The 21,976-nt window shown below is 48.8% G+C and overlaps 5 annotated features.

Annotated features, from left to right (window-relative positions):
* Window positions 669–1,169: an enhancer, noted in NCBI's record as "H3K4me1 hESC enhancer chrX:68475969-68476469 (GRCh37/hg19 assembly coordinates)". NCBI's record gives its function as "activates a minimal SCP1, AML or CMV promoter by ChIP-STARR-seq in naive H9 embryonic stem cells {active_cell/tissue: H9 hESC(naive)}" and the evidence as "EXISTENCE:reporter gene assay evidence [ECO:0000049][PMID:30033119]".
* Window positions 1,655–2,156: an enhancer, noted in NCBI's record as "H3K4me1 hESC enhancer chrX:68476955-68477456 (GRCh37/hg19 assembly coordinates)". NCBI's record gives its function as "activates a minimal SCP1, AML or CMV promoter by ChIP-STARR-seq in naive H9 embryonic stem cells {active_cell/tissue: H9 hESC(naive)}" and the evidence as "EXISTENCE:reporter gene assay evidence [ECO:0000049][PMID:30033119]".
* Window positions 7,661–8,212: an enhancer, noted in NCBI's record as "NANOG-H3K27ac hESC enhancer chrX:68482961-68483512 (GRCh37/hg19 assembly coordinates)". NCBI's record gives its function as "activates a minimal SCP1, AML or CMV promoter by ChIP-STARR-seq in primed H9 embryonic stem cells {active_cell/tissue: H9 hESC(primed)}" and the evidence as "EXISTENCE:reporter gene assay evidence [ECO:0000049][PMID:30033119]".
* Window positions 8,213–8,763: an enhancer, noted in NCBI's record as "OCT4-NANOG-H3K27ac hESC enhancer chrX:68483513-68484063 (GRCh37/hg19 assembly coordinates)". NCBI's record gives its function as "activates a minimal SCP1, AML or CMV promoter by ChIP-STARR-seq in primed H9 embryonic stem cells {active_cell/tissue: H9 hESC(primed)}" and the evidence as "EXISTENCE:reporter gene assay evidence [ECO:0000049][PMID:30033119]".
* Window positions 8,764–9,314: an enhancer, noted in NCBI's record as "OCT4-NANOG-H3K27ac hESC enhancer chrX:68484064-68484614 (GRCh37/hg19 assembly coordinates)". NCBI's record gives its function as "activates a minimal SCP1, AML or CMV promoter by ChIP-STARR-seq in naive and primed H9 embryonic stem cells {active_cell/tissue: H9 hESC(naive and primed)}" and the evidence as "EXISTENCE:reporter gene assay evidence [ECO:0000049][PMID:30033119]".

Genomic DNA, 21,976 nt, shown 5'->3' on the forward strand with positions numbered 1-21,976 from the left:
CTCAGAGAGCTGGACTGGATGGAAAGACAAGAGGTCACCTCATCCAGCTTGGTTCTAGGCAGAATTCCCCCTAAACCATAATTTCCATAAGAGCCCTCCCCCTCCCCCATCATAGCCAGTCAGGGAAAGAGCTGGAAGAACTCTGAGTAGTGCCAGGAGAGGACCAACCGGAGTGTGATTTGCATATAATTTGCATAAGACAATCTGTTCTCTGGTAATTTTCAAGTGAAAATGTTATCATCGCTCCCGGAGGGTTACTGCTGCGTGATTTTTCTTTCCTTTGTTCTTCCGCACACACAGACTGCCCCAGGTCTGCCCTCGAGGAAGGCTTAATGGAGAGGAGGGGCCAGAGAAGGGCTGGGAAAGGAGGGTCTGTAGCGTCCAGACCTGTGCTCAGTCTGGGGCTCCCTTCCCAGGGCACAGTGTAGACCCATGTTTCTATTGAACCCCCTCAGGGCTCTTCAGAGCCTCCCACCCCCCACCAGGCCTAGGCTGCTGCCTGCCTCCCCCTGACCCCTGGCTGCTGTGCTCTGGGGCCTCCCTTGGGGCCTAGCTGCTCCGTGGGGCCCAGGCAGCTCACAGCACAGGCCTGGCTCAGGGGACGTTTTCTAATAGGCGGATAATTGCCTCTGTTAATTGCAATTTGATTTTAGCAATTTTTCTCTAAGAGCCTAGAGGCCTCAGGCCCAGATATGGAAAGGAGGTGCATGGGTAGAGCTTCCAAGCTAGGGTCTAACTGCTCAGAACTTACCACCTGCTGGGTCTCCCCTAGGCTCTGCCCCGGCTGGGCAGGGGACTGAAGCCTGCACTTCATCTCACCCCACAGCCTCAGCTCCACAAGGACATGCTGCAGATGGCTCTGAGAAACACCCTCCTTTCCCAGCCCTGAGGGAGTAGTTTGGTGGAAGCCTCTGGAAGGGGTCAGTTGGCAGACACCCCAGGGGCAGAGCAGGAGCCCCACTACAAAGCCTGGAGGGCTTCCAGCTGGAGCCAAGAGACTGCAGGAGTTCTCTCCCATGGCCATCTTTGTTCCTCAGACACTTTTCTGGGACTGCCAGCCTCTCCTCCCAGTTACCAGCCAGCTTTGTCTTCCAAGGTCCCTCAGAGCATGGCTTTTGGAGCCCAGCCACCTAATAAACCTAGAGCAGGTTCCTCTATTTTATTTCTCTGTGCTCCAACTCCTTGGTCTTAAAGTGGGGAAATAATAGTATCTCCATGGTAGTGATCAAAGCAGTTAATGTGGGCCAAGTTCTTCAAGTTCTTCACCCAGTGCCTGGCACATATTAACTTCTCTATAAATGGTAGCTGTATTCTGGCTTTTACCATAATCCACATCTTGGGATACCCTGGGCAGGCCTCTAGTCCTGCAGCCTATGATCATATGGGTCCTCAAAGGCCAAGGTGGAATCATGTGGGAGAAAGGTGCCTTAAGGTGAGCATCCCTAAATGAAGCAGGGTCTGCCCGGGACAGGGCTGGGGGCTAGGAGGCAAAAGCGGCAGCCTGAAGTCTCCAGAGTGGAAGTTCATCGCTTTGAAGCTGGGTGCTTCAGGATGAAGAGTAAATTATGCCTCTTGCCCATTCACTCTCCTTCACCTCTGCCTACCCATCCAAACTGGCCATTCCTCCACTAAAGAGGACTTCCTGGAGGAAGAGACCTCCAGGGAAGGGAGAGGTTTGTGGAGTCACATTGCTTCCTTGGAAAGGTATGTAGGCCAGATTCCTTTTCCTCTTGTTAGCTGTGAGCCTTGGGCCTCTGACTCTACCTCTCCCAGCCTTAGTTTGCCCCTCTGTACCAAAGAAGCCACTCTATGTCCCACATGGGGTGGCTATGGGGAGCAGCTAGAATAACGCGTGGCCGCCTGCAAGTAGGTGCTTCGTAAATAACCATTTCCTCCTCTGTTCCTTCCCGTTCCTTCATGTGTAAGGGGAGCAATTCTCTCCCTGTGTTTATGCCTGTGTTGCCTGCCTCTCCCCGCCCAATTCCTCAGCATGGAGGTGTCGGCCACTGCCTTCCTTCCCACTGCACACAGGCCTTCTCTGTAGCTGGCAAGGAGGGGGGAAGTGGAGGCAGGCAGTGGTTTGGGGCCCAGGGAGAGTGTCTCGGCGCCTGCCCACCACCTCTGGCCTGCCACTCCAGGCAGCATGCTAATTAAGACTGGAGGACCCACAGAACAAAATTGCAGGCCCCCTGCCTCAGCCCAGCCCCCAGTGGCCTAGTGGGGAAATCTGGCAGCACAGACAGGCCCTTTGCTTTGGGCTTGGTGGAGGTTGGGTAGAGCTGGGCTGGGCAGTGGCCCAGAGAGGAAACAGAGGAGGGATTGGCCTGGGTCTCCGGGAGCCTGGCCTCTTAGGCAGGGCAGGAACCAAGAGATGTGAGGAGAAGGCCACAATTTCTGCTTGGTCCTGGGCCATGCTCGGCCTGGTCTGGCCTGACCCTGCCTGTAAAGGAGGTGTTGACAGAATGATGGGGTGGGAGGTCCCCAGATGGGGGCACCGCAGGGCCAGCATGCTGGGAGGTGACTGCCTGGTACCTTTTCCTGGGGCTTCTGGACTCTATTACCTACTATAGATTTGTGAAACTCAGGGAAAAGTCCCTTTACTTCCCTGAGCCTCAGTTTCCTCTTCTCTCAAATGGGGCTGATGAACAATATGTAATGAAAACATGCATGGAAATGAGGCATGCTAGATTCAGGAGAGTGGTTATGTCTGGGGAGGCTGAGAGGAAGGGAAATGGGCCAGGGCAGAAGTACATAAGGACCCTTATCTCTATTGGATAGTTTTATTCCTAAAACAAGGCATGAAGCATGTGTGGAATACTGTTAAGATTTCACAAAATTGGGCGATAGGTACACAGGTGTCTGTTAAGGTATTTGTTTCTAGTTTCTTTTCTGTGTGTCTGAAATATTTCACAATCAAACAAATGTCCAGTGACAGCATCACATGCAGGATTTGAAATGTGCTGAACCTCAGGAATCCCTTACAAGAGTGAAGTGGACGTGCCCTGGGAAACAAACTCCAGTGCTGACCGGGACCCCGAGGCCAGAGGCATATGGCAATCTATGCATTTTAGGTAAAGTGAGCAGGAGAAAACAATCTCAAAATTCACATCCTCTTTCTGTGACGTATGCTTTCCAATAGGCATGTACACCTAACTAAGGAGTCAATTAAGTATTATAAGTAGGGTCAACGAGCTGGCATGGCATCTGTGGCACATATGAGGCAGACCCCTCTGTCTCCTCCGCCATGAAGTGCTGGAGTATTGGGTCAAACCTGATTCCAGTGACCACCTAGATCACTGGTTCTCAGCTCTGGCTCCACATGAGAATCACCTGGGGAGCTTTTAAAACATACTAATGTCCAGGCCCCATACCCAGGGACTCTGACTTAATTGGTGTGGGGTGGGAACTGAACATTCGTATGTTTTAAAAGCTCCCCAGATGATTCTCCTGTGTAGCCAAGGCTGTGAACCACTGCGCTACAGCCAGCAAGGCTGTTCCCAGCACCCCTCGGCCTCTCCCTCTTACCTGCTTTGAGAGAGGGCCCTGGAACCAAACACAAGCAGTCATCCTTCTCGGGCCAAAGCTGTGTGACCTTTTGCCTTTAGAGCACATTGCCCAGAATCCCTGACTCCTCCCTCAACCCACAGAGGACTGCTGGCTTTTAAGGACGGTGAGGAGGTGAAGAGGAATCATCCTCCACCATAAGGCTGAGTGAGGTTGTAATTAGAAATCATCCACCCCATTGGCTACTTCTCTACCTGCATCTCCTGGGCCTTTGGCCCTGGTGGATGCAGCAAACTCCTTCCTGAAACTCCTCCATTGGCTTTCATGAAGACTTATTGTCCTGATTCTCCTCTGATCTCTCTGCCAATGCCCTCTACCAACACACACAAACACACACATACAACTTCTCTGCTTCCTCCTCTTCTGTTCACCCACGCCTCATACATTTCCACCTTGAGGTCTGGCTTTGGCACAAAATTTCTGTCTTAAGACACTTTCTGCTCCCTCAGCCACACTGCCCTCTTAAAAGAGGCTTTTCTTTTCTTTTCTTTTCTTTTTTCTTTTTTCTTTTTTTTTTTTTGAGATGGAGTCTCGCTCTGTTGCCCAGGCTGGAGTGCAGTGGCATGATCTCGGCTCACTGCAACCTCCAAAAGGAGGCTTTACAAATTTCTTTCCAGCCCCATCCTCTTTGCCAAACTCCAGTCTCACATCCCCAACTGGGAGACACCTGGAATTCTCTCTAGCACCTCAAATTTAACATGGCTAAGCTAGATTCATCTCGTCTTCCATGTGCCCTCCACCAGCCATCTGGTCCAATTACTGCTCATGGTGCCACTGTTCACTCAGCTCAGCAAACTTCGGTCACCACAAATGCTCCCTGTCCCTGCTTTCCCCTCCCACATCCTCCAGCCAGTGGGTCACCCTCCAGACTGTTGAGTCTCCTCTGGTCATGTTCTCTGCACCCCAGGATTTTCCTCCACCTCTATGCTCCCCACCCCTGCTTCAGTTGAGACCGTCTCATCCCTGCTGAAACCATCACAACTGCTGCTTCCACAGTGGCGCTCCTCCCTCTCAACACTCCTCCCCATTGCCTGTCCATAAAGTCACAATTCTTCAGGATAGGAGACAAGATCCTGTGCAGTAGTCTGCAACTGCACGTTCTAACCCTCTCCCCATAGCTTCTGCAGGAAACCTTCCTCTCCTGGCAGGCTGCTGCCATTTGACATGCCTTGATCATCCAGGGCTCCACACTGTCCTCCAACAGTCTCAGTCTGCATGGAGGTCACAAAAATCATTGGCGTGCAGAGGCTGGGTAGGGAAGGGAAGTGAGGGATGTGAGCTGAGTTGGAGATGCAATCAGGAGTAGGGCAGTGTGTGGAGAATGGGAGTGGCATGCCTCATTTACAAGTGGTGACATTCTTCAATTCCCACCAATCATGCCCATGCAGGAATGAGGGCCTATCTTAGTTTCTTTGGACTGCAGTAACAGAATACCATAGACTGGGTGGCTTATAAACAATGGAAATTTATTTCTCACAATTCTGGAGGTTGAGAAGTCCAAGATCAAGGTGCTGGCCGATTTGGTTTCTGGTGAGGGCCTGCTTCCTAGATGGCCATCTTCTCACTGTAACCTCAGTAGCAGAAGGGGCAAGGGTATCTCCGGAGTCTCTTTTAGAAGGGCACTAATCTCATTCATGAGGACTGCACTCCCATGACCCGATCAGCTCCCAAAGACCCCACTTCGTAGTACCATCACCTAGGGGGCTACGATTTCAATGTATGAATTTTGGGGGGAATACAAACATTCAGACTATAACAGGGCCCAATGTTGCCAGATCCTCTAATTTATCCAGAGAAGCCAGAAATCCAAAACCTGAAGGTAAAATCTCTAGATTTTTTAAAATGTCAAATCATTCAGATTTTTGTAAAATTTTGAGCTGGGTCACACAAAACACATCTGCCACCAGGTGCTGCTCATTGACTCCAGTCTTGCAATATCCAGGCTGGTTCCACACCCAGCCCTGCTTAGAGTTGTGCCCTCCTACCCCTCCTGTCCCAAGCCTCCCCAGTCTTCAAGGCCCAGGTAAGGTACAATCGAGCTGGTGAAGCCCTCCCTGGCTACCCCAGTCCTCTCCAACTTCCTGTGACCTTTAGCCTTCAACATCATGTACCTGGCACCCTGGCTAGGGTGCTTAGGGAGGCAGCAGAGCACCAAGGTTAGAGGTTAGAAGTGTGGAATTGTAATTAGGCTGCTTGGATTTGAACGTCGGCTTAGCTATTTATCAGCTGTGTGACCCTAGGCAAGTTTTTTACCTTCTCTGTGACCCATTTTCTTTTTCATGAGGTTGTTATATGGATTAAATGAGATAATCTATGAAAAGCACTTGGGGCCGGGCACGGTGGCTCACGCCTGTAATCCCAGCACTTTGGGAGGCTGAGATGGGTGGATCACCTGAAGTCAGGAATTCGAGGCCAGCCTGGCCAACATGGTGAAACCCTGTCTCTACTAAAAATACAAAAATTGGCCTGGCATGGTGGCACACACCTGTAATCCTAGCTACTCAGGAGGCTGAGGCAGGAGAATCACTGGAACCTGGGAGACAGAGGTTGCAGTGAGCCGAGATCTCACCACTGCACTCCAGCCTGGGCGACAGAGTAAGACTCCATCTCAAAAAAAAAAAAAAAAAAGAAAGAAAGAAAGAAAAGAAAGAAAGAAAGAAAGAAAGAAAGAAAGGAAGGAAGGAAGGAAGGAAGGAAGGAAGGAAGGAAGAAAGAAAGAAAGAAAGAAAGAAAGAAAGAAAGAAAGAAAGAAAGAAAGAAAGAAAAAGAAAGAAAGAAAAGAAAAGCACTTGGAACAGTGCATGGTTTATAATAAACACTCAATAAATGGTACCTGTTATTATCATTGCTTCTGGGGGTTGTTTGCTCACCATTTACATGTTCAGATTTTGCCTATTTGTCTATATGCCCAGAGAGAGCAGGAATCATGCCTTATAGCATCTTCACCCTCTATCCCTGAACCCTTCAATACCTTGTCCACACACTCAGGAGCACAATCGACACATGAGAAAATGTTGGTTGCAACAGATTGAATTCAATCGACAAACATATATTGCATACTGACACTATGCCAGGCACGGTGCTAGACACCAACAGCAAAGCACTGCAGTAGCAACACTGGCATTAGAATCAGGCACCCCAGCCTGCTGCTTCCTAACTGTGTGAGTGCTAGCCGACTGCTTCCTACCAGTAGCCTTCATTTCAGCATCTGTAGGATGGCAAGACCTCCCTATACCTAGGGTTGCTGGGGGCACTCTGGAGAGGTATGGGTATCCTTGTCTCAACTTAGGTAGCTTTTCTAAGATTTGAAGGAAAGTACTCAAGTGTCTGTTCATGGGCGGGAAGCTGGCAGATAGGCTGCTTCTCCCAGTACCTTCTGGCTCTGAGCCTGCGGCCCTGAGAGGTTTCGCTATAGATTGCCTCACTGCCCCGCATGTGCTGTCTCCAGCCTCCCTCTCAGGGAACACACTCCTGCCAGGGTGTGCGTGTGTGTATGTGTGTGTGTGTGGTGTGTGTGTGTGTGTGTGTGGCCAACTTGACCACAGGCTGGATAAGACAGAGTAGCTTACATCATAGAATCACTGCCAATTTTAAAGCAAGTTTTAGACACCGTTCTTTAAAAAGTTTCCTGAGTGTTTCTCATCATCTGGGTAAGCTCTAGGCCGCTTGGCCAGCTCTCTGCTCCCCACTCTTTGCTACCCTATGGCAACTCAAATATACATATATCTACATCTTCCCTCCCACTTCATTATGCTGAATAATTTGACCTTCTCTAGCCCCTGCCCTTATGCAGCTCCCAGACTGCCTTTCTACCTTTCGAAATTCACTATCATGCTCTACTTAACACTGGACCACTTCCTTTCTCTCTCACCCTTTCTCTTTGCCCTAGAGGGGAAGGCAGCGGTGTAGAGATGTATCCCCTATCCCCACCCCGTGTGAATTTTGTCTCAACCCCTTGGATGCTAGAAGTGACTTTAGTTGTTTGGATTAAAACTGTTTTTTTCTCTTCCATCATATATTCACATGTGTGTGCAGCCATGAAGCATTTAGCGCATCTAGCGCAGCACCTGGCCTGTGAAAGGAGACCCTTGTGATTAACCCTCCCCCCATCTTACCCTTCAGGTTCTGAGGCCACAGACTGGAAAGAGACTGATCCCTGTCCTCCACCTCACCCCACCCAAGAGCTCACCGTCCAAAGAGGGAGAGGAAGAGCCAGACACCCAAACCTGTGCTGCCAACAGGAGTAGATAGAGGAGGTGGGAAAGCCATCTAACCAGGGGCTAGTAGGAAATCGCTCAATAGAAAGTGACATTTCAGCTGTGTCTTTAAGGATGAATGAGGGCAATGGGAGTGGCATGCAAAGGACAGAGGTGAGAAGCATCAGATAGTCCACCATGGCAGAAGAGAGAGTGGATATGGGTGTGGGGTCAGGGGAGGAGCTAGATTGGGGCCCACTGTGACTGGCCTTGAAAGCCAGGCTAAAGAATTTGGACTTAATCCTGTCGGCAATACTGAGCCATCAGAGGTTTTGTAAGTAGGGGAGTAACATGATCAGAGCTGTGTTTAAGGAAGATTAATTAAAAATAATGTATGGTGTGTTTAATTCATGGCTAGCCCTGGGCTTTGGAGAAGACGGGAGATGAAGAAAACAAGGCCCCAATGAGCAGGCAATTCACAAAATAATGGCCAATAAACATATGAAAAGATGTTCAACCCCACTAGAATGCAAAGAAATGCAAATTAAAGCAACAATGAGATACCATATTTGGCCTATCAAATTAGCAGGGATTAAAAATGATAACACTTGATGCTGCGGAGGGTTTTGTGAGGCGGTCCCTTGCTCACTGCGGGGAGGGGTGCGGGGGAGGGGGTCGGGCTGCAAATCACTTCGGCCGTTGGAAGGGCCGTTTGACAAGAAATAAGAAAAGCTTTTTAGAAGTGCACATAGTGTGACCGAGAAATCCCACTTCTAGGTATTTGTCCTAAAGAAATTGTGGATGTGAGTAAAAATTTATGCCCCAAATATCTCCCTGCCCTGGGTGTTATTTATAAAAGCAAATAGGTGGATCGAATAGGGGAAGTGTTAAAATTGTGTGGCTGCGACCTCGGAGACTGGACCTTAACATTTCTGAATCCTCAAACGCTGGAGGCAGCAGACAAAACCGCTATTTCTTTTTTAAGCTGCCGGTGGTGTGTTGCCCGGGTCTCTAAGGGGAGCAGCTAAAATTTGTCCTGGGGGCAGACGGTGCCTTTGTTCCGCTAGGGACCCACAGGCGAGGCCTCTTGGTCATGCAGATGTACCTCAAGTACCTATTCATTGTCTTGGGGAGGCCCTGACTCCATATGCAGATGCGGTAAGCAGCGATGTTAAGCATTCTGTTTAATAATGTAAAAGGCCTTCTTCATTGTGGGCTGGGCGGCATCTCTGCAGAATCTCTTGTGATGTTAAATGATTTTCAGCTTCCTTTGGCCAGGCTTTGCGACAGCATGGGGGCAGGTGGGGAGGGGGGTGGGGGGGTCGATGACAGCCCTGGCATGGGAATAGAAAGGACGGAAGAAAAGAAGCTCGGGTTTGAGGAGGACAGGGTCCCAGCAACGAGGCGGCAGCCTGGATTAAAGACCATGACCGCCAGCAGTGAGCCCTGGGAAAGGGCAGGGACTCAGAGCAAATGAGGCCGCTATCGATTGTAATTCCCCATGCCAGTATTACCCCAAGAGAAGTTCTGTACAGGAGAGGATTTTAGGTGGGCCATGGAGGAAAAAGAAATTGAATACTTGGGGCCGGGTGCGGTGGCTCACGCCTGAAATCCTAGCACTTTGGGAGACTGAGGTGGGTGGATCACAAGGTCAAGAGATCCAGACCATCCTGGCCAACATGGTGAAACCCCGTCTCTACTAAAAATACAAAAATTAGCTGGTTGTGGTGGTGCACGCCTGTATTCCCAGCTACTCAAGAGGCTGAGGCAGGAGAATCGCTTGAACCTGGGAGGCGGAGGTTGTAGTGAGCCAAGATTGCGCCACTGCACTCCAGCCTAGCAACAGAGAGAGACTCCGTCTCAAAAAAAATAAAATAAAATAAAATAAAATAAAATAAAATAAATTGAATACTTGCTTAGGATGAAACTGAAGCAAAAAGGTGAGGGGGGGAGTTTTGCTAGAAAGACCAATATTAGTGTACATGCTAGGACAGGTGGAACATGAATATGGCAAGTGGCGAAGGTGGTTCGCAATGAACTGCTATGGGAAACACCACTCCGTGTTACCAACAAGCCATCAGAAAGTCAGTAAGTTATGACTTACCGACTCAGTTGTATGTTGGGAAATTAAGACAGAGGCTGTAGTCCACACAGAGACTGCGGGTCTCAGAAATAGCTACAGCAACACAGAGAGAAAGGGGCGATGAGGGCACCAGAAGGGAACAGGGAAAATCCCAGAGCACTGGGGGCTGCAGGTGACAAAGGACAAGCAAAACAACAGAATCCCCGGAGTGGGAGCATTGTAAACTCAGGGAGGGCTCTAGCCTTCCTCCAGAGACCCAGGTGGGCTCTGGGACTTGGGCCATTTGGATGTTGAGTGCTCATGGGAGGCTGGGGAACTTGGAGATGTTCAGGTCCTAAGTGCATGACACATCCAGCCAGATGGCTAGGCAGCCATTCACAATTTTGATTTCAAGCATTCCTAATTATGTAGAGGGATGTCAATGAGATATTGTGAAGTGAAAAAGAACAGAAGGTCAAGCACAATGGCTCACACCTGTAATCCCAGAACTTTGGGAAACTGAGGCAGGAGGCTCACTTAAGGCCAGGAGTTTGAGAGCAGCTTGGGCAACATACTGAGGCCCCGTCTCTGAAAAAAAAAAAAATTTTTTTTTAACTAGCCCGGCATGGTGGCTTGGGCCTGTAGTACTAACTACTCAAGGGGCAGAGGCAGGAGGATTGTTTGAGCCCAGGAATTTGAGGCTGCAGTAAGCCTTGTTGTGCTACTGTACTCCCCAGCCTGGGTGATAGAGCAAGACCCTGTCTCAAATAAATAATTTTTTAAAAAAAAGAAAAAGAACACAAAACAATATTAAGTTATGACTTCAATTATTTTTTTTAAAGACTAGAAGGGAGGCTGGGCATGGTGGCTCACACCTGTAATCTCAACACTTGGGGAGGCCAAGGTGGGCAGATCAGGAGGTCAGGAGTTCGAGACCAGCCTGGCCAACATAGTGAAACCCCATCTCTACTAAAAATAGAAAAATTAGCCAGGTGGGCGCCTGTAATCCCAGCTACTTGGGAGGCTGAGGCAGAAGAATCACTGGAACCCAGGAGGTGGAGGTTGTGGTGAGCCGAGGTCACACCACTGCACTCCAGACTGGGCAACAGAGTGAGATTCTGTCTCAAAAAAAAAAAAAAAAAAAAGACTAGAAGGGAATTTACCAAAACATTATTGGTGAATCTCACCCAGGTGGAAGCCATAAGAGGAGCCATTGTCAGCCAAGGGAGTCCAAGAGACCGCCATATTTGAATCACGGGTTATTATGGGCTGTATGTTTGTATCCCCCCCAAATTCATGTGTTTCAATCTAATCCCCAAGGTGATGGTATTAGAAGGTAGGAACCTTTGCGAGGTGATTAGGTCATGCGGGTGCAGCCTTCATGAATGAGATTAGTACCCCTGTAAAACAGACCCCCAAAAGTTCTCAAGCCCTCTTTCCCCCATGTCAGGATACAACATGAAGTCAAAATCAGCAGTCTGCCACCCTGAAGAGGGGCCTCACTAAAACCTGAACACACTGTCATCCTGATCTCAGACTTCCAGCCTCCAGAACTGTGAGAAATAAATTTCTCTAGTTTCTAAGCCACCCGGTCTATGGTACTTTGTTATAGCAGCCCAAACTGACAAAGACAGCCATCAGAAAAGTAGACATTTGCAAGGCACCTTCATTCACTACCATTCCAGAAACGGGAAGTTGTATGGCAAAGTCCCAGGATGTGAGAAGTCTAATGTGCTGGTCACAGGTGTCAGTTGTGATCAGATCCATACGGCTTATCAGAGCCCTCTGGCCACTGAGCGGAGGATGCATTATAGCGAGTTAGAAGATCAGAGAGAACAGCTGGAAGTTGATTACAGTCATCCAAGAGAGAGGTGACAAGGATCTGTACTCCTACTGAGGCAGTGGGGAAAGAAAGAAGCAGAGGATTCAAGACATATTGAGGTGGTGGAATCTAAGAAATTTGGTGACAAATTGGATGTAGATGAAAAAGAAGGTGGCCTGAAGGGGGTCTTCCAGGTATCAGGGAGGGCTTGCACCCCTGGGTGGAACAGGTGGACTAGAGAATGAGGAGGCCTAGCTCTAGGCACAGCTGTCACAAGGCCAGCACTATCACCTCTCCATGCCTCTGCTCCCCTATGTCATTTGTTTTCCTAGGGGGCTGATCCCAGGTGTGAGGCAGTGAGGGATGGAGGGCAGCAAGGAAGGGCAAGGGAGTACCAGACAACTACTGACAGCAGGCCATAGCTGAAAGGGCCCTTGGGGACCTTCCAGTCCAACCTCTTCATGGTACAGGTAAGGAAACAGAGGCCCTCATTCTTACAAGGTTGGTAGCAGGAAGGAAGCGTAGCTTTTCCCAACACCACAGATTAGGACAGTCTCAGGGAAGGACACTGATAAGCTGGCTTAGGCCACATGGTCACCCTTGTGGCCAAGCAGGCTGGATTTTTTACCCTGTAGGGGCTAAGGGAAAACTTCCCCTTCACCCTCTGAAGGTTTGCTGAAATATCAATTCACAAAAGGCAGGCTAACTGGCGGGGGAAAGGCATACAATTTATTCATGTGTACATGTGTAGACAGGGAGCATCACAGAGTGATTACCCAAGCCCACAATGGAGTGCAAAAGCTTTTATACCATCTTGAGGTTACAGAAAGAACGGGAGCTCCCTTGAGGCATGGCCAAAAACAGGTCATGGTGGTAAATCAGGTTACGGTGGCAGGACACGTTATGGGAGGGGCAGAAGGGGAGGCCTGAGGAGCAAAGGTGGTCTCCTTAGGTAGATGAACCCTCACAGGTAGCAGCCCTCAGAGAGAATAGACGGTAAATGTTTCTTTCAGATCTTTAAGGTATGAGACTCTCAGCTCATCTTTCCCAGATCTTGACAAGGGAAGGCCTGGCTGCATCAATGCAGATTCTGCACAGATGCAAATCGCCCCCACAAAAGACAGCTTTGCAGGGACACTTCTGTTTGCTGAGCCCCTGACAGCCGTCTCAAAATATGTCAAATATAATTGGGGGTAAAATATTTTCATCTCCTTTAACCCAAAGAAGAAGGAAAATGAATCCCAAAAGGATCAAGACAATCATTATCACAGATTCTCTGGACTCTTAAAAATTAGAGTGAAGGTTAACTCTAAATGTGGACTTTGACCAATGCAACTTCACTGGTGTGTGTCCACAGAGAAAGAAGGTCATCCCATCCAAAAATGAAGTTAAAATATCATGAAGTCCATTCTCCTGCATCCAAACTACCAGTCTATCACCTCTTCCTCAACTCAGGAAATGATTAAGAGTATGGGCTTTTTTGAATTTGAATCTTAGTTCTGCCACTTACTAGCTTTGTGAACTGAATGAGTCATTTTACCTTTGGACTTCAGTTTCCCTAGAAAACTTCATAGGCTTGTTGTTTAGATTGAATGAGTTAATATTTGGAAGGTGCTAAGAACAGGGTCTAACATATAGTAAGTGCTATGCAAATGTTGTCAAAGGTACGATTATGTCATTCCTCACTTAAAACCCCATGCTACTTCCTCTTCCTCCCAAGCTAACCTCCTCCATGAAGTCTTCCCTGCCTGTCCTTCCCTCAACTCCCAAGAGGCTGTGCTGTACTGTAGCTTACCTTCCTCTACATAGAAGTCTCCCTGAGGGAGGTCAGGGACTCTGTCAGAGCTCTTGCTTGGCTCCCAGCATTACAGCACAGTGCCTGCACAAAAGCAGGACCTTGGGAAATGGTGAATGCATGGATGTCTTATGTTTGAAGAACTTCTTGCACTTTACAAAGCGCTTTTCACTTCTGTTATCTCACTTAAACCACACTCTAGACTTGTAGAATGGGTAATATTGCCTTCATTTTATAGATGGGGAAGCTAAGGTTTTGAAAAGTCAGGGGGCACAGCTAGCATATGGCAAGGCTGGGGTGCAAGCTCGGGGCTTCTGCTGTCAAAGCAAGTGGGAAGATAGCCCTGAGTGAAAGGTTACTGGAACCCAATTCCAATTCTGGTTTTTGCAGCTGGACTCGCTCTATGATTTCAAATACATTCTTTTCCCTCTCCGGGCCTCTGTTTCCTTACCTGTACCATGAAGAGGTTGGACTGGAAGGTCCCCAAGGGCCCTTTCAGCTACGGCCTGCTGTCAGTAGTTGTCTGGTGCTCCCTTGCCCTTCCTCGCTGCCCCCCATCCCTCACTGCCTCACATCTGGGATCAGCCCCCTAGGAGAACAAATGACACGGGGGAGCAGGGGCATGGAGAGGTGGCAGTGCTGGCTGGGCCCCAGTGGAGGCTAAACTGTTAGAGGACTCATTAGATGGTAATGAACTGCAGTTGAGCATATTGATTACCTCTCAAATCATTTCCTCCTAATTCAGTTCTCCAGGGTCAACAGGCCCCTGGCTTCTCTGGGCTTTCCACCCATCCTCTAACTAAATAGTCAAGGGCTTCATCTGAGGGCTGCCAAGCCCAAGGGGAGCAGGGTGGGAGGAGGGAAAATGCTAAGGTATAAGCCCCCATGTCTGTCTTACTGCCCCTTCAGCTTGCACTTGTATAGTCAGGGCCAGCCTCACAGATATGCCACCAGTGCAATCCACGGGGTCCCACACTTGCTTTAATGCTCTGCTGTTCTCACTTTGAAATTCCATTTTTTTTTTTTTTAAGACAGGGTCTCATTCTGTCGCCCAAGCTGGAGCAGCATGATTTCGGCTCACTGCAGCCTTGATCTCCCGGGCTCTGTTGATCCTCACACCTCAGCTACCTGAGTAGCCAGGACTACAGGCATGTGACACCACGCCCAGGTAACTTTTATACTTTTTGTAGAGATGGAGTTTTGCTATGTTGCTCAGGCTGGTCTCAAATTCCTGGGCTCAAGCAATCCGCCTGCCTCAGCTCCCAAAGTGCTGGGATTACAGGCGTGAGCCACTGCACCTGGCTGAAATTCTTAGTAATTTTTTTTTTTTTGACGGAGTCTGGCTCTGTCGCCCAGGCTGGTGTGCAGTGGCATGATCTCGGCTCACTGCAACCTCTGCCTCCCGGGTTCAAGCGATTCTCCTGCCTCAGCCTCCTGAGTAGCTGGGACTACAGGTGCGCCACCACGCCCTGCTAATTTTTTGTATTTTTAGTAGAGACGGGGTTTCACTGTGTTAGCCAGGATGGTCTCGATTTCCTGACCTTGTGATCCACCCGCCTCAGCCTCCCAAAGTGCTGGGATTACAGGTGTGAGCCACTGCGCCCAACTCTAATTTTTTTTTTTTTTTTTTTTTTTTATCAAGAGGCCTTGCATTTTTATTTTGCACTGGGCCCTGCAAAGTATGTAGTAGATAGGTAGTCACAGGCCAGACTGTGGTCTGTGTAAGTGGCACCCACTAGAGTGTTCAAAATGGTAGCTCTGGCTGGGAGGGCCTCTCGAGCCCATAGAGTTTAGTCCCCTAGATTGATGCTCAAGATTGGAATACACTTGCCCAAGGCCACACAGTCCAGCCAGTCAGTGGCAGTGTTGAAGAGTAGAACCTAGACCGCCTTTCCTTTTCCTCCAGATATTAGGACCCTCCAAGTTTCTCTAGAATAAGCCCTTGGTCTAGATCACTCCCGTCACCGCTTTTAAATTTTTTTTTATTATTTCCATAGGTTTTTGGGGAACAGGTGGTGTTTGGTTACATGAGTAAATTCTTTAGTGGTGATTTGTGAGATTTTGGTGCATCTGTCTCCTGAGCAGTATCCACTACACCCAATTTGTAGTCTTTCATCCCTCACCTCCTCCCCACCCTTTCCCCCGAGTCCCCAAATTTCATTGTTGTCATTCTTACGCCTTTGCATCCTCATAACTTAGCTCTCACTTACGAGTGAGAACATACGATGTTTGGTTTTCCATTCCTGAGTTACTTCACTTAGGATAATAGTCTCCAATCCCATTCCACGCGTCGCTTGCTTGATAGGCATTTGGGTTGGTTCCATATTTTTGCAATGGCAAATTGTGTCACTTTTTTTTTTTTTTTGAGACAGAGTCTCGCTCTGTCACCCAGGCTGGAGTGCAGTGGTGTGCAATCTTGGCTCACTGCAACCTCCACCTCCCGGGTTCAAGCAATTCCCTGCCTCAGCCTCCCGAGTAGCTGGGATTACAGGCGCCTGCCACCACACCTGACTAATTTTTGTATTTTTAGTAGAGACGGGGTTTCACCATCGTGGCCAGGCTGGTCTTGAACTCCTGACCTCGTGATGCACCCACCTCGGCCTCCCAAAGTGCTGGGATTACAGGTGTGAGCCACCGTGCCCAGCCATGTGACCCCTTTTTGACAAGTGATCTTTTAAGTGCTCAGAGCTGTAGATCATCAAGGAGCTTCAGCCCCCATCACAACTCTCATTGGATGCAATGGGCTCTGGTTTTCCTCCCAGGTCATTGCTCCCCTCTAGTGTGAGAGCTCATTGCCTCACATGGCAGACCATTCCATTGTGAGACACCTGTGACACATGTAACTTTTAGGAAAGCTCTTTAAGAAAATTATGTGAGTTTCCCTCCTTATAATAGTCACCCTTTGGCCCTAGTTATTTTCTTGAGGAACACTTAGAATTAAGTTGGCACCTTCTCCTCTCAAGACTCTCAGGTAGGCCAGCAGAACAGCTTTTCTGTAGGTGGGAAAATGATGGAGTTGATCTGTCCACCTTTAGTCCTATTAGCCCAAGGAATCAGGGTCTCCAATAAGGAGGCAGAGGAAGGGCATGACAAATGAGCACACTTGGCTTGCCGTGCTCCCAGGTGGGAGAGCACCCAAGGGTGTGGGCAGCCCCTGGCTGGGAGGTCAGTACTCTTTGAACATGAGAGCAAGGTAAGCTCTGGGGGTGCAAGGCTTCCCTGTTCTTTTGATTCTCTGCTAAATCCACCAGGGCTTGTTACAGAAATGAGTCCACAGGAGGAATGGTGATCATGCATGTGAATGCCCTGTAGGCCTCAGAATGGTTCTTAGAGAGAGGATGTATTTCAATTCCCTCTCTCTCCTGACTGAGGAAGAGCCTATGGGTTAGAATCACAAAAGGAGGTCTGTGGGTTAGACACCTGGAAGGACTGCCTGACTCCGAAGCCTGGGATGCATCTGATGAGTGCCCATAGAATGCTCTCTGGCCCTGGGGTGTTCAAGCTCAGCTGCACATTAGAATCAGAGGGGAGCTGTTTCAAAGTACCTGTACTCAGGCCCCATTCCCAGAGACTTGCATTTTTTCAGGCAGGGATATGGCCCAGGTATCAGCATTTTCAAATGGATCCCCAAGGGATTATAATGTGCAGCTGAGGCTAAAATCTAGTCATCTAGAGCAGGGCTTCTCCAACTTTAATGTAAAGAGAAATCACCTGGGGATTTTGTTTGAATGAGGATTTCGATTCAGTAGTTATGGGCCTGAGCTTCTGCATTCCTATCAAGCCACCAGGAAATGTCCATGTTGCCAGCCGTGGACAGCACCCTGAGACATCTTTAAGCCAAGGATGACTTGAGCCCTCTTAAGTCTAGGACTGGACAGACGGAGTAGGGCCTGAAAGCTCAAACATGGACTTGATGCCCTTCAAGGACACTGCAAACCTTAGTGGTATGGAGAGCCCAGGCCCGGCTCCTCTAGAAAAGCCTCAGGTTTGGTCCTGAGGCAGCAGTACTGGCTGAGTAAGAGAGTTCCCATGGCCAGTGCAGGAAGCTCTGTGAGCCAGTTTTTGGAGCTCAGAATTTGCAGCTACAAGGCAAATCTCACAGCTCCCAGCATCCTCATTCACTAAGCTCAAGAGCCTGGGCATGTGTTGGTCTGCCCTTCCTGCCAAGGTCAACAGCACTGGAATCCCCAACTCTCCACTGCCCTCAAGAGTGATGCGCCCTCAGCCTCCTTCAAACCCCCAACCTCGCCGCTAAGTTGGGCCTCAAATGGTGATGGGTGGCAGAGGGCCCAGATGTCCCCTGCTTTGCTCCCTTGGGCTGTCACTGTTCCCAGGGGCCCAATTAAGCCAGCGCTTTGTCCCTCGGCAGTGGAGGCAGGCATCCCTGGCACTCTTCCGCTCCAGACTCCATCTCTTCATCAGCTGTCACCAGACAGCCCACATAATGTCGGGATTTCATGCTCAATATTCTTGATGAAAGTGGAACATCAAAACCTCAGCGGGGTGGACACATGGAGACTAAGTGAGCGTCTTACCAAAGGAGCTATCTTCTCAGCACAAGAAATTAACAAAGATCCTTTTCCAAGGCTGTCTTATATTATTATTGTCATTATTATTGTTGTTGTTATTTGCTTCCCTTGCATCTAAGTAGGAACAATAAGTTATGCCTTGCTTTTACACACACACACACACACACACACACACACACATCTATATATCTATTCTCTCTTGTATGCTTGCTGATAGCAATCTCTGCCTCCTGTTATAATAAATATTGATTGGCACTGTTAGGAAACGCCAGGGCTTTAATCTCCTGGCTGCCTGCTCTCTGGCTCAGCAACATGGGTGTTAGGGAGGAAGATTGTATTATCTGCTCACACACCTGTTTTGCCACTCGCCTCTCTCCTGCAGCAAAACGTGGGCTATTAATGCCATGGGGAATTAGCTTTCCTGTGATGTCGCTTTGTCTCTTCCCTGTTCCCCTGTTCTTGTGACTCCAGGGAAAAGCACTTTTCTGGTCTGCCAGCCTCGGGCTGTTACTACCCACACAGCCCCCTAGGGCCCTGGCGTAGAGAAGGAGTGCACATAGTCAGTCACTTACTTGTTCTTCACTCATTTAGTTCTTCTCTCATTGAGCATTTGTCAAGCACCGACTTTGGGATGGGCTCAAGGCTGAATCCCATGGAAGCAGTGCTCCATGAAACATAGTCCCTGCCCTCCCAGAGCTCCCAGTTGGTAGGAAAATGATCCTGTTACATACAATGTGGTCAGCATGAAAGCAGAAGGCAGACTAGCCATGTGAGTGGCACCATAGAGGAAAGGGAGATGTTGGCTTCCTGGAGGAGGTGACCATGAGCCTAAATCAAACACCAATAGGATGGGAAATGTCAGCAAATCCCAGCTGAGGGTTCATTCAAGACCAAGCAGTTTGAGGTTCTCAGGAAATGGGTGGCGCTGAGAGGGGAAGAGATGTGTTGAGAGCACTGTTCATTTCTAGTTTGAAACCCCACCCTGCCACTGACCCACTACGTGACCTGGCACAGGTCACAGCCCCTCTCTGGCCTCCATCTGTCCTAAAATGAAACATGAGGTTTACCTCTTCTCAGAACGGGAGGTCCCCACATCCCTCCACCAGGGGCAGCTCCTCTTAGAGGCAGGAACCACCACAGTGTAAGGTTGTTCCCTGGGTGGAGGGTGCCTGTGACAATAACTCTGTCTTGACGCAGAGGTGAGCAGATCCTCTTGCTCAGAGAACCATGACACTGACAGGAAGAAAGGAGTGGGAAGGCAAGCAACCCTGGCTTCCAAAGAGCCTGCCACGGGGAGCCAGCACAGGGCCCTTGTCAGAAGTGGAAGAAGAGAAGAAGAACGTTTATTGCACCAGGCAAAATGGGAGGCACTTTCACATAGATGATGACATTAAATCCCTAACACAAGCCTGTGAAGCAGGGACGATCATACCCACCTCACCAATAAGGAACTTGAGGGGGTGGCAAGGTTTACAGAGATGCTCTGCTGTGCAGTGGCTAAGAGCTTGGGCTCTGGCTCAGACCACCAGATTTGAAGCGTGGCTCTACATCTTTGTAGATAGGGGATCTTGAACAAGTCACTTAACTCCCAGTTTTCTCAGCTCTGAATTGGAGATGATAATCATACCGATTAAATAGGTTAAATGAGATAATATGTAGAAACAACTTGGCTGGTGTATAGCAAGTGCTCAAAGGTCATTGCTACTAGTGGCTGAGGTTATGGAGTCGCTGTATAGCAGGGCTACAATTTGAACTTGAGGATGGCTCTAAAGCCAACGCTCTTTGCAATGTTCTGTACCCTCTAGCTTGCCAACTGCTCACCAGCACTGCCACTCAAGCCTTTCTTTTGAGCTAGGCTGAACAGAGCAGTACTTGCGGCGCTCCCTCCTGCTCAGTGGACTTAATGAAGCTAGGTGCTAGATTGCAGAGCAGAGCACTAAATGTTGTAATGGAGGAGACAGCACAGCGCTATAGGAGCCCAGCTGATGATCGGCACTTCTGGGAGGAGAAGGGGAGCTGTCACAGAGACTGCTCTGACAGTTATCATTCAATACCTACTCTTCCCTTCTCTCTGAGTAACAAAGCTCAAATTTTACCTACCATGGCAATGCCTAGCTGAAAGATTATATTTCCTAGCCTCTCTTACAACTAGATGTGACCATGTGACTACATTCTGAGCAATAAAATGTAAAAGCAAATGTCACATGGGACTTCTGGAGCTGCTGCCTAAAAGGAAATTATTGATAGCTAGGATATGTGCCCTTTCCCTTTTCTGTTGCCAAAATGGTGATGTGATGACTGGAGCTCCAGCAGCCATCTTGAACCCTGACAAGACCTCGAAAATGAAGCTGGTACTAGGATGTTAGAGCAGAGAGATGGAGGAGGTGAGATCTTGATGACTCCACAGTGCCACTGTGCCATCTCTGAACTGCCTATCTCCAGGCGTCTGGTATCTGAGACTATAAACCCTTGTGTGTCTAAGCTAGACTTTTTTGGGTTCAGTTTCTTGCACTGAGTGCAATTCCTAAGTGATTCAGAAAACTCCACAGGAAAGAAATAATTTGCATGGGCTCTAGGAATAAGTAATTCCGGACAGAGGAAACAGCCAGTTCAAGGCACGGATGGAGGTTTGAAATGTGTGACACATGATAGATTTGGCAGGGGTAACCAAGAAGTCAGACATACAGTAGACACCTTGTGTCCCAGCCAAACAGGACTCCTGGCTCATACACCGTGCACTCACTCACTCCACAGTGTGGTCCCCTGGACTCTTCTTTAATAACTCTGGGGACCAGCAGCTTCAGTTGTAATTGTTCATGACCTGTTTGTTTTTTCCTTACATCAAATCAAAAGTAATGCAATTTTCAGGTAGCCAGGTGCTATGATCTCCATTTTGCAGATGAGGAAACCGAGGCTTATGGAGGTTTACCAGCCTGTCCTAGGTTACACAGCTAGTAATGGCAGAGCTGGAATTTAAATCCTGGTTGGCCTGAGTCCATTGCCCTCTTTCTACCACTGGTTCTCAAACTCTAGATGCATCAGAATCATCAAGAAGGCTCATTAAAGCACAGATTGCTAGGTCCTACCCCAGAGTTTCTGATTCAGTGGATCTGCCATGGAGGAGCCAAGAGCTTGCATTTCCAATAAGGTGCACAGCAGGGGAGGTTGGGGAGGGAGTGATGCTGCTCATGTGTAGACCTACTTGGAAAACCACTGGATTAGAGCATTAGCTGGGGACTGGGTCTCCTCATAGCAGGTGTGACAGTGTGGAGGCACTGTGACTTAGCAAAGTGGTGCTTCGTCTGGAGTTCTTGAGTTTATGACCCTTTTCATCTATTGTCAGCCAGGCCAGGATGGGTGGCACCTGAGCCAAGCCCGGGCTTGGCAGGAATGCTGAGAATTCCAAACTAGCAAGCTGCTGGCAGGTTCCAGCTAAAATGCAGACAGGCACCACCCTTAGTCCCTAGGTTAGATTTCTTTGGCTCCTTGGCCCTCAGCCTCCAGAAGGGTTAATGCTGACCCACTGGAACAGAGAGACAGAATGAAGAACTTTTTGTAGGCCAGGAGCCAATCTGAATCTCACTGAAAACCTCCAACCAGACCTGAGAGATTCCATAAGCCCCCAAGAGGTTGCTTGAACTGGAGACTACCATGTAAATACTTTCCTATACATTCATGCAAAGGTTTTAAAAAGATTGTCTTAATAGTTGTGCCCTGTTGGCACGTCAGTTTCAGGCTCTGAATTCCTAGAGAGCAGGGAATGGATTTGCAGGGATGAGGAATTAAAACTCACAATGACAGAGAAAACGGTGATGACAATTATAGTGTTAGGGTTGATGTTGGTGGCCACAGTGTAAGGAGAAGAGGAGAGGGAAGTGGTGGTGGTGGTGGGGAGGTGGAAATGAAGGTGAGGGAGGTAGATGGATGTGAGGTTGATGAAGATGTAAGTGGTGAGTGAGGGTGACGAAGGTAGTGAACTGAGTTGTCCATACCCCTCTGAAGACACTT

The sequence above is a fragment of the Homo sapiens genome, chromosome X, assembly GCF_000001405.40.
Source record: "Homo sapiens chromosome X, GRCh38.p14 Primary Assembly".
NCBI classification, from domain to species: domain Eukaryota; kingdom Metazoa; phylum Chordata; class Mammalia; order Primates; family Hominidae; genus Homo; species Homo sapiens.